The 13,160-nt window shown below is 40.8% G+C and overlaps 1 long non-coding RNA gene across 1 annotated transcript; it reads left to right on the top strand.

Annotated features, from left to right (window-relative positions):
* The first annotated feature begins 1,298 nt into the window (after positions 1-1,298).
* LOC105375922 (uncharacterized) lies at positions 1,299-12,256 on the top strand. Its single transcript, XR_929097.1, has 4 exons — positions 1,299-1,418; positions 2,392-2,501; positions 7,810-7,955; positions 11,823-12,256. It is a non-coding gene; the product is annotated as an uncharacterized LOC105375922 (long non-coding RNA).
* Positions 12,257-13,160: the final 904 nt, after the last annotated feature.

Raw genomic sequence — 13,160 nt, 5'->3', positions numbered from 1 at the left:
AGGATATGGAGTAGATTCGGGAGTCCAGAAGCCCATCCAGTAAGCTGTTGTAATAATTAATGTAGTCGTGAGATGGCGAAGGCCTGTTGGCAAGGGAACTAGAAAGGAAGGGAGAGAGAGGGGAAATATCCTAAAGGCAGGCCTTTTCTGATGATCAGCCTGAAGTGGCCATTCTCTACCTATCATTTTGTTCTAATTCTCTGTGAAATATTTACCATTATGTGATAATTTTCTTGTTTGTTTAGTTGCTTCTTTGCTTATTGACCATCTTCCTCTATTAGAACATAAGATCCAAAAGGGAAGGGCCTGGAAAGTTCCGTTTATTGTTAGGTCTTTATGTATCATACCCAGAACAATGCATGGTAGAAAGTAGCACCCACGGTATTTATCTGTGGGATGAGTAAATTGTTACTGGAAATTAGAAGCAGCCAGATATAACAAAAATAAATTCAAGATTTAGGCTGGGCGTGGTGGCTTACGCCTCTAATCCTAGCACATTGGGAGGTCGAAAAGGGTGGATCAATTGAGGCCAGGAGTTCAAGACCAGCCTAGCCAACATGGCGAAACCCGTCTCTACCGGAAATACAAAAAATTAGCTGGGCGCAGTGGCGCACGTGCCTGTAGTCCCGTCTACTCGGGAGGCTGAGGCATGAGAATCGCTAGAACTCTGGAGGAAGGTTACAGTGAGCTGAGATCATGCCACTGCACTCCAGACTGGGCAACAAAGCAAGACTCTGTCTCAAAAAAAAAAAAAAATCCACTTTAGTTCCAGGTCCTGTCCTAGGCCCTGAGGACACAAGGATGAACAACAGCCTCTGCCCTTTGGGAGCCTATAATCAACAGAAGGAAAGAGACACCTAACTAATTATGATATAAAACAAAAGTTATCATAATACTGTCATAAACACTATGCTATGGGAACACAGAGGAGAGAACGAGTAATTCTGCTGAAATTATAGAGGTCCACAATATAGCTTTGAAGTGTGAAAAGATGACTACTAAATTCTAGGAAAATCAGATTGAAGCCCTAAGGCTTGGTGGTATTATTAATGTATAATACATAATGTATGCTCAACATATCATTGTAAGATGAATGAGTAATTGAAGGACAGGACTTGTTATTTTAAAAGATTGTATCCATATCATCTCTTTTATTGATATTAGAAACCATGCTTGTGAAGAATTTTTAGTAATATGGGAAAATGTTTGTGATACAATAGGTTTTAGTAAGATACAAAATTATATACATAGTTAAATTGTAAAGATTTATTTTCCTCTTTACTTTTTCTTAGAGTTTCCAGATGCTTTACACAGAGAATATATTAATCGCCTCCACGGAATACATATCAAACATTTTTACAAAGGTGGAGTCGAGGAAGAAATAAAATAGCAAAGAAAAAAAAGAGATGGAAAAGGAGGTACATGAAAATGTTACTCATTATTATAGAACTGGCTCATGTAAAAAAGAAAAAAAAAATTAATTTTTTGTTGTTGTTGTTGTTTTGAGACAGAGTCTCACTCTGCTGCCCAGGCTGGAGTGCAGTGGCGTGATCTCAGCTCACTACAACCTCTCCCTCTCGGGTTCAAGCAGTTCTCCTGCCTCAGCTTCCCGAGTAGCTGGGACTACAGGCATGTACCACTATACCCAGCTAATTTTTGTATTTTTAGTAGAGATGGGGTTTCACCATGTTGGTCAGGCTGGTCTTAAACTCCTGACCTCAAGTGATCTGCCTGCCTCAACCTCCCCAAGTGCTGGGATTACAGGCGTGAGCCACCATGCCCAGCTGAAAATTTTTTTTTAATTACATCTGTACTGAACATGTACACTTTTTTCTTTATTTTCTTTTACTTCTTTTTGAGACAACGTCTACCTGTGGTTTCCCAGGCTGGTCTTGAGCTCCTGAGCTCAAGCAATCCTCCCACCTTGGCCTCCCAAAGCACTGGGATTACAGACATAAGCCAAGTTGCCTGGCCCCCAATTTTTTCTTTTCATTATGCCCTAAACAATACAGTATAACAAATATTTACATTGTGTTACATATTATAAATAGCACTTACATTGTGTTAGGTATTATACATAGCATTTAAATTGTGTTAGGTATAATCTAGACTACTAAATTTAAAGTATACAGAAGGATGTGCGTAGGTTATATGCAAATACTACACCATTTTATATAAGGGACTTGAACATCCATGGATTTTGGTATTCATGGGGGGTTCTTCGAACCAATCCCCTGTGGATATTGAGGAATGTCTCTCCTTCTCAGCTATCATATTTGGTTTGCTCATTGTTCATGTATGGGACATAACAAATTTATCTATTATTTGTGCCCTTCATGTTTCATGCCTATTCTTAGCTTTGCTCCTATTCTTAAGTAATTTTCTCTACAGGGGTGTGTGGCAAGAGCGGGAGATAGCTAGATAGCCAATCAGTGAGTAAAACTGAACCTTAGACCATCGATCACAAGGTCTTAACTTCTGTTTGGTTCACCACTTAACAGGTATGTGATCATTAGTAAATAATGTTGACCCCTTTGAAAAACCTGTGCACTTCACAAGGTTATTGTTCATTTCTTCATTTACTAATTCTCATGAGATAGATAGATAGATAGATAGATAGATAGATAGATAGATATTTTATAGACAGGATTTTACTCTGTTACCCAAGCTAAAGTGCAGTGGTGCCAGCATAGCTCACTACAGCCTCCAACTTCTGGATCAAGCAATCCTCCAACTTCAGCCTCCCAAATAGCTAGGAGTATAGGCGCTTGCCACCACACCTGGCTAACTTTTTTTTTTTTTTTTTTTTGAGTCAGAGTTTTGCTCTTGTTGCCCAGGCTGGAGTGCAATAGTGCAATCTCAGCTCACTGCAACCTCTGCCTCCCGGGTTCAAGCAGTTTTCCTGCCTCAGCCTCCCAAGTAGCTGGGATTACAAGCATGCTCCACCACGCCCGGCTAATTTTGTATTTTTAGTAGAGATGGGGTTTCTTGGCCGGGCGCGGTGGCTCACGCCTATAATCCCAGCACTTTGGGAGGCTGAGGTGGGCGGATCACGACATCAGGAGATCGAGACCATCCTGGCTAACACGGTGAAACCCCGTCTCTACTAAAAAAAAAAATACAAAAAATTAGCTGGGTGTGGTGGCGGGCGCCTGTAGTCCCAGCTGCTCAGGAGGCTGAGGCAGGAGAATGGCGTGACCCAGGAGGCGGAGCTTGCAGTGAGCCGAGATCGCGCTACTGCACTCCAGCCTGGGCGACAGAGCGAGACTCCATCTCAAAAAAAAAAAAAAAAAAAAAAAAAAAAGAGATGTGGTTTCTCCATGTTGGTCAGGCTGGTCTCGACCTCCTGACCTCAGGAGATCTGCCTACCTCGGCCTCCCAAAGTTCTGGGATTATAGGTGTGAGCCACCGCACCCGGCCGACTTTTAAATTTTTGGTAGAGACAAGGTCTCGCTCTGTTGCCCAGGGTGGTGCTGAGCTCCTGGCCTCAAGCGATCCTCCTGCGTTGGCCTCCTAAAGTGTTGGAATTACAGGAGTCAGCCACTGTGCCTGGCTCCCATGTAATGAATTTTTATTGCATATTTACTACACAGCAGCTCTGTACTAGGCATTCATCAGTGAACAAGATCAATATAGTCTCTATGCTCATGGATCTAGGAGGAAAACAGAAAAAAAAACTCAATTGAAAACAAAGCAATTACAAATTGTGACAAATGTTATGAAAAATACAAATAAGAGAACAGGAAAGAGAAACTTTTTTTTTTTTTTTTTTTTTGAGACAGAGTCTCGCGCTGTTGCCCAGGCTGGAGTGCAGTGGCACTATCTCGGCTCACTGCAACCTCCATCTCCTGGGTTCAAGTAATTCTCTGCCTCAGCCTCCCAAGTAGATGGAATTACAGCCGCCCGCCATCAAGCCCAGCTAATTGTATTTTTAGTGGAGACGGGGTTTCACCATCTTGGCCAGGCTGGTCTTGAACTCCTGACCTCATGATCCACCTGCCTCGGCCTCCCAAAGTGCTAGGATTACAGGCATGAGCCACTGTGCCCAGTCGAAACTTTTTATTTTATGTTTTTGAGCCAGGGTCTCACGCTGTCACCCAGGCCATAGTGCAGCGGTGATGCAAACAAGGCTCACTGCAGCCTCGACCTCCTGGGCTCAAGCCACCTTCCCACCTCAGCCTGTCAAATAGGTGAGACCACAGGTGCCCAACACCATGCCCAGCTAATTTTTTAAAAAAAATGTTGTAGAGACAGGGTCTTGTCATGTTGCCCAGGCTGGATGAAAGAGAAACTTTGGATATGAATGAGTATGATAATATTTTAGGCAGGGAATGTGTTTTTGAAACAGAATAGTATACATAAAGACCCAGAGATGGAAAATACTATAGTATTGGAGGAGTTGAAAGAAGATGCTTGCCAGGAATGAAGTGGATGATTGAGGAGAATGAGGTGAGATGATGTTAGAGAAAAGGCAGAGCCAGATCTGTACGGCCCGACAGCCATAGTAAGGTACATGGAGATTATTCTAAGTGTTGTGGGACAGCAAGAGGGTTGTGACATGGTCTGGTTTCACTTTGAGAAATTAATTTGTGTAGAGAATGGAATAAAGTAAAAGCCATTGAGTGTAGCCCAGGGTAGCAGTGTTCAAGGCCTGGACTAAGGAATGCAGTGTCAACAGAGAGGAGCAGACATACTTAAGGGATATTTTGGAGATAGAAATTATGAAGACCGTATGAAATAATGAATTTAACAAGCTCAGTAAACTAAAAAATGCTTGTATATTTTGAGTTTTAGTATCACATCTCTGAGTCTTATTGAACCAGAAGGATTGTATAATATTAAGTTATTCTGCTACCAGTAGACTTAATTATATCTGCTTTTTTTCATCCATACTGTATCACCTGTCTTATCTAACTAAATCCGCTCTTTAAAAAAAGTAACTTGTTCTTAAATTCTCAATATAAGAATTCATTTATTCAACAAATATTCATTAAACCAAAAATATGGGACTCAGCATAAATGTATTTAGATAGCAGATTTTAATATAATTTGATGAAAACATAATTTATATATTATTTACATTTAAAGATATACAGTACTTGCTCTGCACAGCTCTTAAAATACAAAAGAAGCTCCTTTATTAAACTGTGAGAATTGTGTGCTAGCACAATGCAAAGATTGTTGGTGGAAAAAAAAAACAGAACAAAATAATAATTTGCACTGGAACTTAAGGTTATAGAGGCTCATAGTATTTTCATGTCTAAATAAATAATGACAAATTACCTGAGTAAAGAATATTAAGAATTACCAATGTATATGACTACCTCTTTGATTTTAAAATCTTTCTTTTACTAATAAAATATAGTACAGTAAATGGATATTAGTGAATTTTCCTATACTTTAATAAAGCCAAGTGTACTTCTATACAAACAAGAAGTCCTTCTACCTGCCAAAATAAAATTCAAAACAAATGAAAAAATGCTAATTTTGCCCCAATTTAGCCCTAACATTCTTTGAGGAGGTTCTGAATTTCAAATAGATCCAATCACCCCTAAATGGTATCAAATTCCATCCTATCTGCCTACTTAAATGCCTAGCCTTTGTTTAAAGTAAGTGGATTAACATTTTCATTGTTGGGATATTCTTCTCCAATCTAGGCTTGATAGATTATCAGCAATTTTTAAAAACCTACTACAACCCTCCCTGCTCATTCTGCCCACTCATCCCTCCCCTTGACAAGAACCCCTTTCTTTCCTTCCCACAGTAAGATTCTATGACTCATCTCTTTTGAATGCAGGCAATAGCCTAGCACCTTCCTTTCATCACTCAGTTGCAAAAGTTTTTCGTTATTGAACAGCTTTTGATAAATGTTTGTCTATTATTATTATTATTATTATTATTATTTAGAGACAGGGGTCGCCGTGCATGATGGCTCACGCCTATAATCTCAGCACTGTGGGAGGCCAAGGCAGGATAACTTGAGCTCAGGAGTTCCAGACCAGCCTGGGCAACATGATGAAACCCCATCTCTACTAAAAATGCAAAAATTAGCTGGGCATGGTGGCACGCGCCTGTAGTCCCAGCTGCTGGAGAGGCTGAGGTGGGGGAATTGCTTGAGCCTGGAAGGCAGAGGTCGTAGTCTAGATTATGCCACTGCACTCCAGCCGTGGTGACAGAGTGAGACTCTGTCTCGAAAAAAAAATAAAGACGGGAGGGTTGGGGGCAGTGCTCCGTCACCCAGGCCGGAGAGCAGCGGCACAATTATGGCTTGCTGCAGCCTTGAATTCCTGGGCTATAGCAATCCTCCTGCCTCAGCCTGCTGAGTAGCTGGGACTACAGGCATAAGTCACTGCGCCCCACCCTAATATTATTTTTAAGTCCAGGTGTCCCTGTAAACGTTTTTTTAACATGAAGAGTAAATTATTTGCCTTTGCTCTTTCACCATCACTTTTTTGTTTTGAGACAGGGTCTCACTCTCTCGCTCAGACTGGAGTGCAATGGCCCAATCTCGGCTCACCGCAACCTCCACCTCTCAGGCTCAAGGGGTTCTCCCGCCTCAGCCTCCCTAGTAGCTGGGATTACAGGCGCAGGCCACTACCGCTAATTTTTGTATTTTTAGTAGAGACAAGGTTTCACCATGTTGGCCAGGTCTAACTCCTGACCTCAAATGATCCACCCGCCTTAGCCTACCAAAGTGCTGGGATTACAGGCGTGAGCCACCGCGCCCGGCCTGTTCAGGGGTTTATACATTTAAGCACCCTGAGAGATACCTAAATGGTACCCTCAGCATTTCACTTCCAAAACTACAGTCAGGACTTCTGGGCATCTGTGTTTTCCTGTGTAATCTTTTTCACTGATGATAGCTGATTGGCCCCAAACAAGGAAGTAACCCAAGGCTGTTTAACACGTCCATGCACGTCATTTAGGAATAGGAAGGAAGGTTCCCTGCCATGAGCAGAGCTTGCCATTAGGGCACTTTTCTTCCAAACATACAGATACATGTTTGACTGGGCTCCATTTTCATTCTGATTGCGACCACGAATATCATAGCTTCTTGAATTGTGCCTCTGTTTTTAAATTTTACTTTTCATTTCTTCCCTATTTCAGCAAGCGTATGTTCTCCATCTCTTAAAGTTTCCTAAACACTGACATTTATAGGATACATAATTTCATTGTCTTATCAATAATGGAACACTGAAAAATATTTATGGAAGGTATTGATCTATGTTTTTTGATGATGATATGCAATATAAAGTCATTATTATATACATATACATATAAAATATATATCTTCTCTAATATGCAAAATGTTTCCATTTATTCCTGACTCCATTTCCCCACTCCCTTCTGACCAAATCTCGTTTACATCAGCTATTAGCATAGCAACCATTTCTGACAGGAGGAGGCGCATCTATTTTTTTTTTTTTTTTTTTTTTTTTTGACAGAATCTTGCTGTGTCACCCAGGCTGGAGTGCAGTGGCACAGTCTTGGCTCACTGCAACTTCCATCTCCGGGTTCAAGTGATTCTCAGGCCTCAGCCTCCTGAGTAGCTGGGATTACAGGTGCGTGCCACCACGCCCAACAAATTTTTGTATTTTTAGTAGAGACGGGGTTTCACTACGCTGGCCAGGTTTGTCTCGAACTCCTGACCTCAAGTGATCTGCCTGCCTTGGCCTCCCAAAGTGCTGGGATTACAGGCATGAGCCACTGCACCCAGCCAAGGAGGCACATCTAAATTCTGACAGAAACTGCTTTGGGAATGGCATTGCTGAACTAAATCCCTGACTTTCCATGCTCTTCTCTTTGCAGCAGTGCCAGAGCCTAAACTATAAACATGGAGATATTTGGAACTTTGGAACCTCTGAGAGTCTAATGCATCAGAACTAGCACAGAAGAGGAGTCTTAGAAACCGGATTCTCAATCTGAGCTTCAACCCTACCAGCTAGAGATCCTGAGTAAGGCACTTAGCTTCTCTGAGCCTCAGTTTCCTTTTCTGTTAAATAGAAATAATCCCTTACCAGTTCAAATGTATATCATAGTATTTATAAAGTGATATGCTAATGCTAGTTGTTGCTCTCATTTAAAAGGAAAGGCAGAGACTATAACCAAACAAACAAATAAAAGTAGGAATTTAAAGAATCTAACTCTGGAAGCCCTAGTCTAAAACTGCCTTATCCTAACCTGAATTTACCCCTTTTCTATTACTCTATTGCACAACGTTCTTTCCCCCACGTCATACATGTTTGAAATAACATATATTCCCTGTCTTTTTAAAAACAGCTCTGCAAATATTGAGAATTCATTAGTCATTCACATATGGGTGTTCAATGCTTTAATGGGAGGTTAAGATAACTACGCTGAGGGCATCGAAGTTTTATTAGGGAAGAAAGAAGCAATCATTAGGAAATATAACATTATTTAGGAGTTGGAACAAGCCCAAATGGAGGGAAGCTGTGCTGCCTTGGGCCAGGACAGAAGCCCTGGCGAAACACCAACAGGAGAGAGAAACATGAAGAAAAGGGTGGAGATAATAAGACAGGCTTCACATTTTCTGGAATTTTCCTCTTATATAGAAAATGGGGGTAAAGCTCTATTTATTCCACTCTCCTCAGTAATACTTCTAGAAACCAGAATTCAAATGAGTAGTATACATCCAAAGTTGACCAGGTTTTTGTGCACTAGCCTGGGAACTCAACCATCACAATGTTTCTGAAAAAAAATGTATTCCAATTTCCAAAGAGCCAACCCTGAAATGCATTTTTGGAATGCAATCTGTTTGAAAATGAAATAACAAGGCAGCCTGTATAAGTTAGCTTTCAAAAAAAGTTTGGGGTTAGAAACATATCAACTACTATGAAAAACTGGTTTCTAATGGGGACTCAATATTTTTGAGCTATCTTGGATCCTTTTTGGAAGGAAGTGGGCTACAAATATACAAATGAGGCTTCCAGATTAAAAAAAAACATTTAAGTGGATTTTAAGACTTTAACATGGAGCTATAGAACAGTCTCATCAGTTCAGAGATCCAGGAAATCTTTTTCATAGCCCTGGAATCAACTATTCACTTTAGAATATAATTGAGCTTCATCCACTTTGGAGTAAAGCCCAATTATATCCTAAGAATAATCTCTTCTACATTAAATCACATCCATGTGAAAAAAAAAAAAAGCCTGTGCAAAAAATATACACTACTGTAGCCATGGCCGTGGCCATGGTTTATTACACCTCTTTATAGTATTTACTCACAATTTAAAAAATAAAGTGACAGGTTAGGGTGAAATAATTTCTGTTTTTTTCTTTTGTTTAATATACCCAAGATAGTACTTCATTAAATAATTTCCAAAGTTCAGTAACTTTTTTCAGTCAGAATAGATATAACTTAGAATTTCTATCACAGTAATTTTACTCAAATAAATGATAAGAATAATGGATTATTCATTACTAAATTTTTTTACCCCATTCATCTCTTTCACACACTACCTTATATCTGCAACCCCAGTAAAATTTGTGTTCAAGAAAAGAGCTAGGCTGGGCATAATGGCTCAGCCTGTAATCCCAGCACTTTGGGAGGCCCAAAAGAAAGGATTGCTTGAGCCCAGGAGTTCGAGACCAGCCTGGGCAACAAAGTAAGACCCCAACTCTACAAAAAATAAAATTAGCAAAGTTTGGTGGCACGCCTGTAGTGCCAGCTACTTGGGAGGCTGAGGTAGGAGGATCACTTGAACCCAGGAGGTCGAGGGTGCAGTGAGCTATGATGGCACCATCACACTCCAGCTTGGGCGACAAAAGCAAGACTCTATCTCTAAAAATAATAACATTTAAAAAAATTTATTAATAATTTTAAATTAAGAAAATAACTAACACATTTTTCCTTCTAAGGGCAGTCACCCATATAAGTAGGTGACTGTCATTTATGGTCCAAACTCGATGCTGTTCTCCAGAAAAACGATAAACCAGATGAGAATCAGTAGGCATAGAACAGTACTACCTTGGGAAATCATGACTATCGTATTCAATTCATAGCTGCCTTTTGGCTGCCCAGACTTCCCTCTCACCAGAGCATGACCTGCAGTAGAGAGGAGGGAGCGTGGCCTAATGCAAAGAACACTGCACCAGCTCTCTTGGGTGCCATCCTACCTAGGGAACAGACATATCATCTACCTCCTCTTTAAACCAGAAACCTAGAAGAACGCTGGACAACTTATTCTCCCTCACTCCCTTCTTCCAAACACATATCAAGTCTTACTAATTTCACTTCCTAATTCCATCCATTTCCACTCACTCCACCACCACTACCTTAGTTCAGTTCATCACTATCCATCACTTTCATTATTACAATAGCCTCTGACTGGTCTTCTGTTTTACCTCCTGACCCCTCCAATCCATTCTTCACAATGACACCCAATTGATATTTATTGATATTCATCAACTGATCATTCTCCTTAAAACCCTTATTGGGTCACCCTTATCCTCAGTTAAATCTTGAGCTTGTCCTTCATAATTGGTTGCACAACTCTAGCCTCCTCTCAATCACCCCTTCCCCCGCAACTTGCACACTGTTTCAAATTACATTCAGTTCCTAGAACACACCTTCATTAACTATATTTTGCATAAAAGCTTCTCCATGCTCCACACACCAGCACACCTCACTTATTTCCCATCCCACTCCTGTACCTGAAATTCCATCTCCATGATTTAGATCTCAGCTTAGAAAGGACTTCCTCCAGGAAGCCTTCCTTTCCAAATCCTTCCCATATGCTACCATTGCAGTAATCTCTACTTCCCTTGTCAGAGCACTGGGAACTCAACCATCACTTGAACTCAATTAGCAAACTAGGGGTCCTTTCTTAGTCCAAAACCCCACCTCAGTGAGGGCCAGCACTTCAAACCAAACTTTCCCAGCCTTGACCTTCTAGCAACCTGTTTTGTACAAGAAATCAAGAAAACCTGTTCACTTTCTGGAATGGCAGCCTGAATTTGTGCCCATTCTTAATCCCCAGCCTCCATCCTCCCACCTCAGCCTCCCAAAGTGCTGATATTACAGGCATGAGCCACCATGCCTGCCCATTCCCAATTTTTATACCCTTCTGCAGATCATGGTAAATAACTAATCATACAGTCCTGTGTCATTCATTTTTCCCCTATGCTGTACGGCCTCTCCTTCAGTGGAAATGAATCCCATGTACCTTATAAAAGTGCTCCAGGACAAACAACATATGGAAAGGAAAACTGGCTTATTGCCACCAAAAATACTAACTCAGCAGATTTTCCTTTCCTCCTAAGTTTAACCCAATGAAGAAAAGTGCTTACATCACCAAGGCTTCGAGACCCCAGGGAAATTGCTGACAGCTGACTTCTCAATCTCTCTTAGAGCACAGTAAAGGGCAAATGCCTCAAGTTATAGGAATTGTGCATTCACAAACCATAAAATACTACCTAGATATTCATTAGTATTGTGTGCTTATGATCACTATATTCTTTTGAAAAAATTAATTGACACATTGTAATAGTACATGTTTTCATAAATATCTATGCTGTTTAATAATCTAGTCAGGGTAGTTAGTACATCTATCACCTTATGCATTTATCATTTCTTTGTCATGAGAATATTCAAAGGCCTCTCCTTTAGCTATTTTGTAATGTACATATTTTACCATTAACCATAGTCACCCAACTGTACAGAATTTATTTTCTATCTAATTGTAACTTTGTTCCTATTGACCAACTTCTCCCCATACCACCATTCTTCTCCCCCTCCCCAGTCTCTGGCAACCACTGTTCCCTTCTCTGCTTCTGATATCAACTTTTTTTTTTTTTTTTAGATTCCACATATGAGTGAGATCATGCAGTATTTGTCTTTCTGTGTCTGGCTTGTGTGATCTCTATATTCTCATTTTGAGTTTGAGACTGTCCTTCAAACACAAAAGGATATAGAAACATAGCCTCCTCCTCATTTGGGAGAATACCTTGGAGGCACAAAAATTCAGCTTATGCAAGAACAATGAGAATAAAAGAGCTAGCAGTAGAGTGATCTTCCAGAATTCAAGTATGAAGACAGCAACATTCATCCCTAGCTAAAAGCATCTGCTTCCACCCCCAGCTCGATCTCAGGTCATAGTCCTTTGGAATTTCATGGCCAGGACAATAATCAACTGGAGAGAATGTTGCATTTTGGAACCAGTGTGCCCAGAGTTAAAGAGAAAAAATTTTAGGCCAGGCATAGTGGCTCACACCTGTAATCCCAGCACTTTGGGAGGCTGCGGCGGGAAGATCTCTTGAGTTCGAGAACAGCCTGGGCAAGATGATGAGATCTGGTTTCTAGAAAAATAAAAAAAATAGCTAGGAGTGGGGCATGTGGAGGCTGAGGTGGGAGGATCACTTGAGCCCAAGAGTTCAGGGATGCAGTGAGCTATGGTCATGCCACTGTACTATAGCCTGAGCGACAGAGCGAGACTCTCTCTCTGAGAAAAAAAAAAGAGAAAATTTTGCTTTCTGGATCCTTATGTCAATAGCCCTTTTTCTCTGTGAATATCCATTTAAGGTTGGATGAGAGGGCACCCTGAAGGGCCAAGCTTCTGTCAATATACAGTTGACTAGATCTACTAAAATAAATGTTCATTTTCTGAGAAGATGTTCAGTATGACAATATTCTATTCTGTATTCTGAAAAATAATTTCATAAATACTATTTGAGTATCTGATAAAATTAGGTGATTATGTAAATGCAACATAAATCAGCACTACATGAAGTAATTTAGATAGACTGTGACTGGCCTACCCCTGTCCACGTTTTTCATACTGTGATTAGAAGGAAATCCCTTGTAATGGCCCACACGCTCTGCATGATTTGGTCTTGCCCAGCATGCTGTATCCATCCACAATGGCCCTATTTCAGTTCCTCAAACACATGAGGTTCTTCTTCTTCTTTTTTTTTTTTTTGAGATGGAGTCTCACTCTGTCGCCCAGGCTGGAGTGCAGTGACACGATCTTGGCTCACTGCAACCACCGCCTCCTGGGTTCATGTGATTCTCCTGCCTCAGCCTCCCAAGTAGCTGGGATTACAGGCATCCTCCACCACGTGTGGCCAATTTTTGTGTTTTTAGTAGAGACGGGGTTTCACCATGTTGGCCAGGCTGGCCTCGAACTCCTGACCTCGTGATC

The sequence above is a fragment of the Homo sapiens genome, chromosome 8 (genome assembly GCF_000001405.40).
Source record: "Homo sapiens chromosome 8, GRCh38.p14 Primary Assembly".
In the NCBI taxonomy this organism is placed as follows: Eukaryota; Metazoa; Chordata; class Mammalia; order Primates; family Hominidae; genus Homo; species Homo sapiens.
The sequence above is the reverse complement of the archived record's forward strand: the minus strand, read 5'-3'. Positions and strand labels throughout refer to the sequence as shown.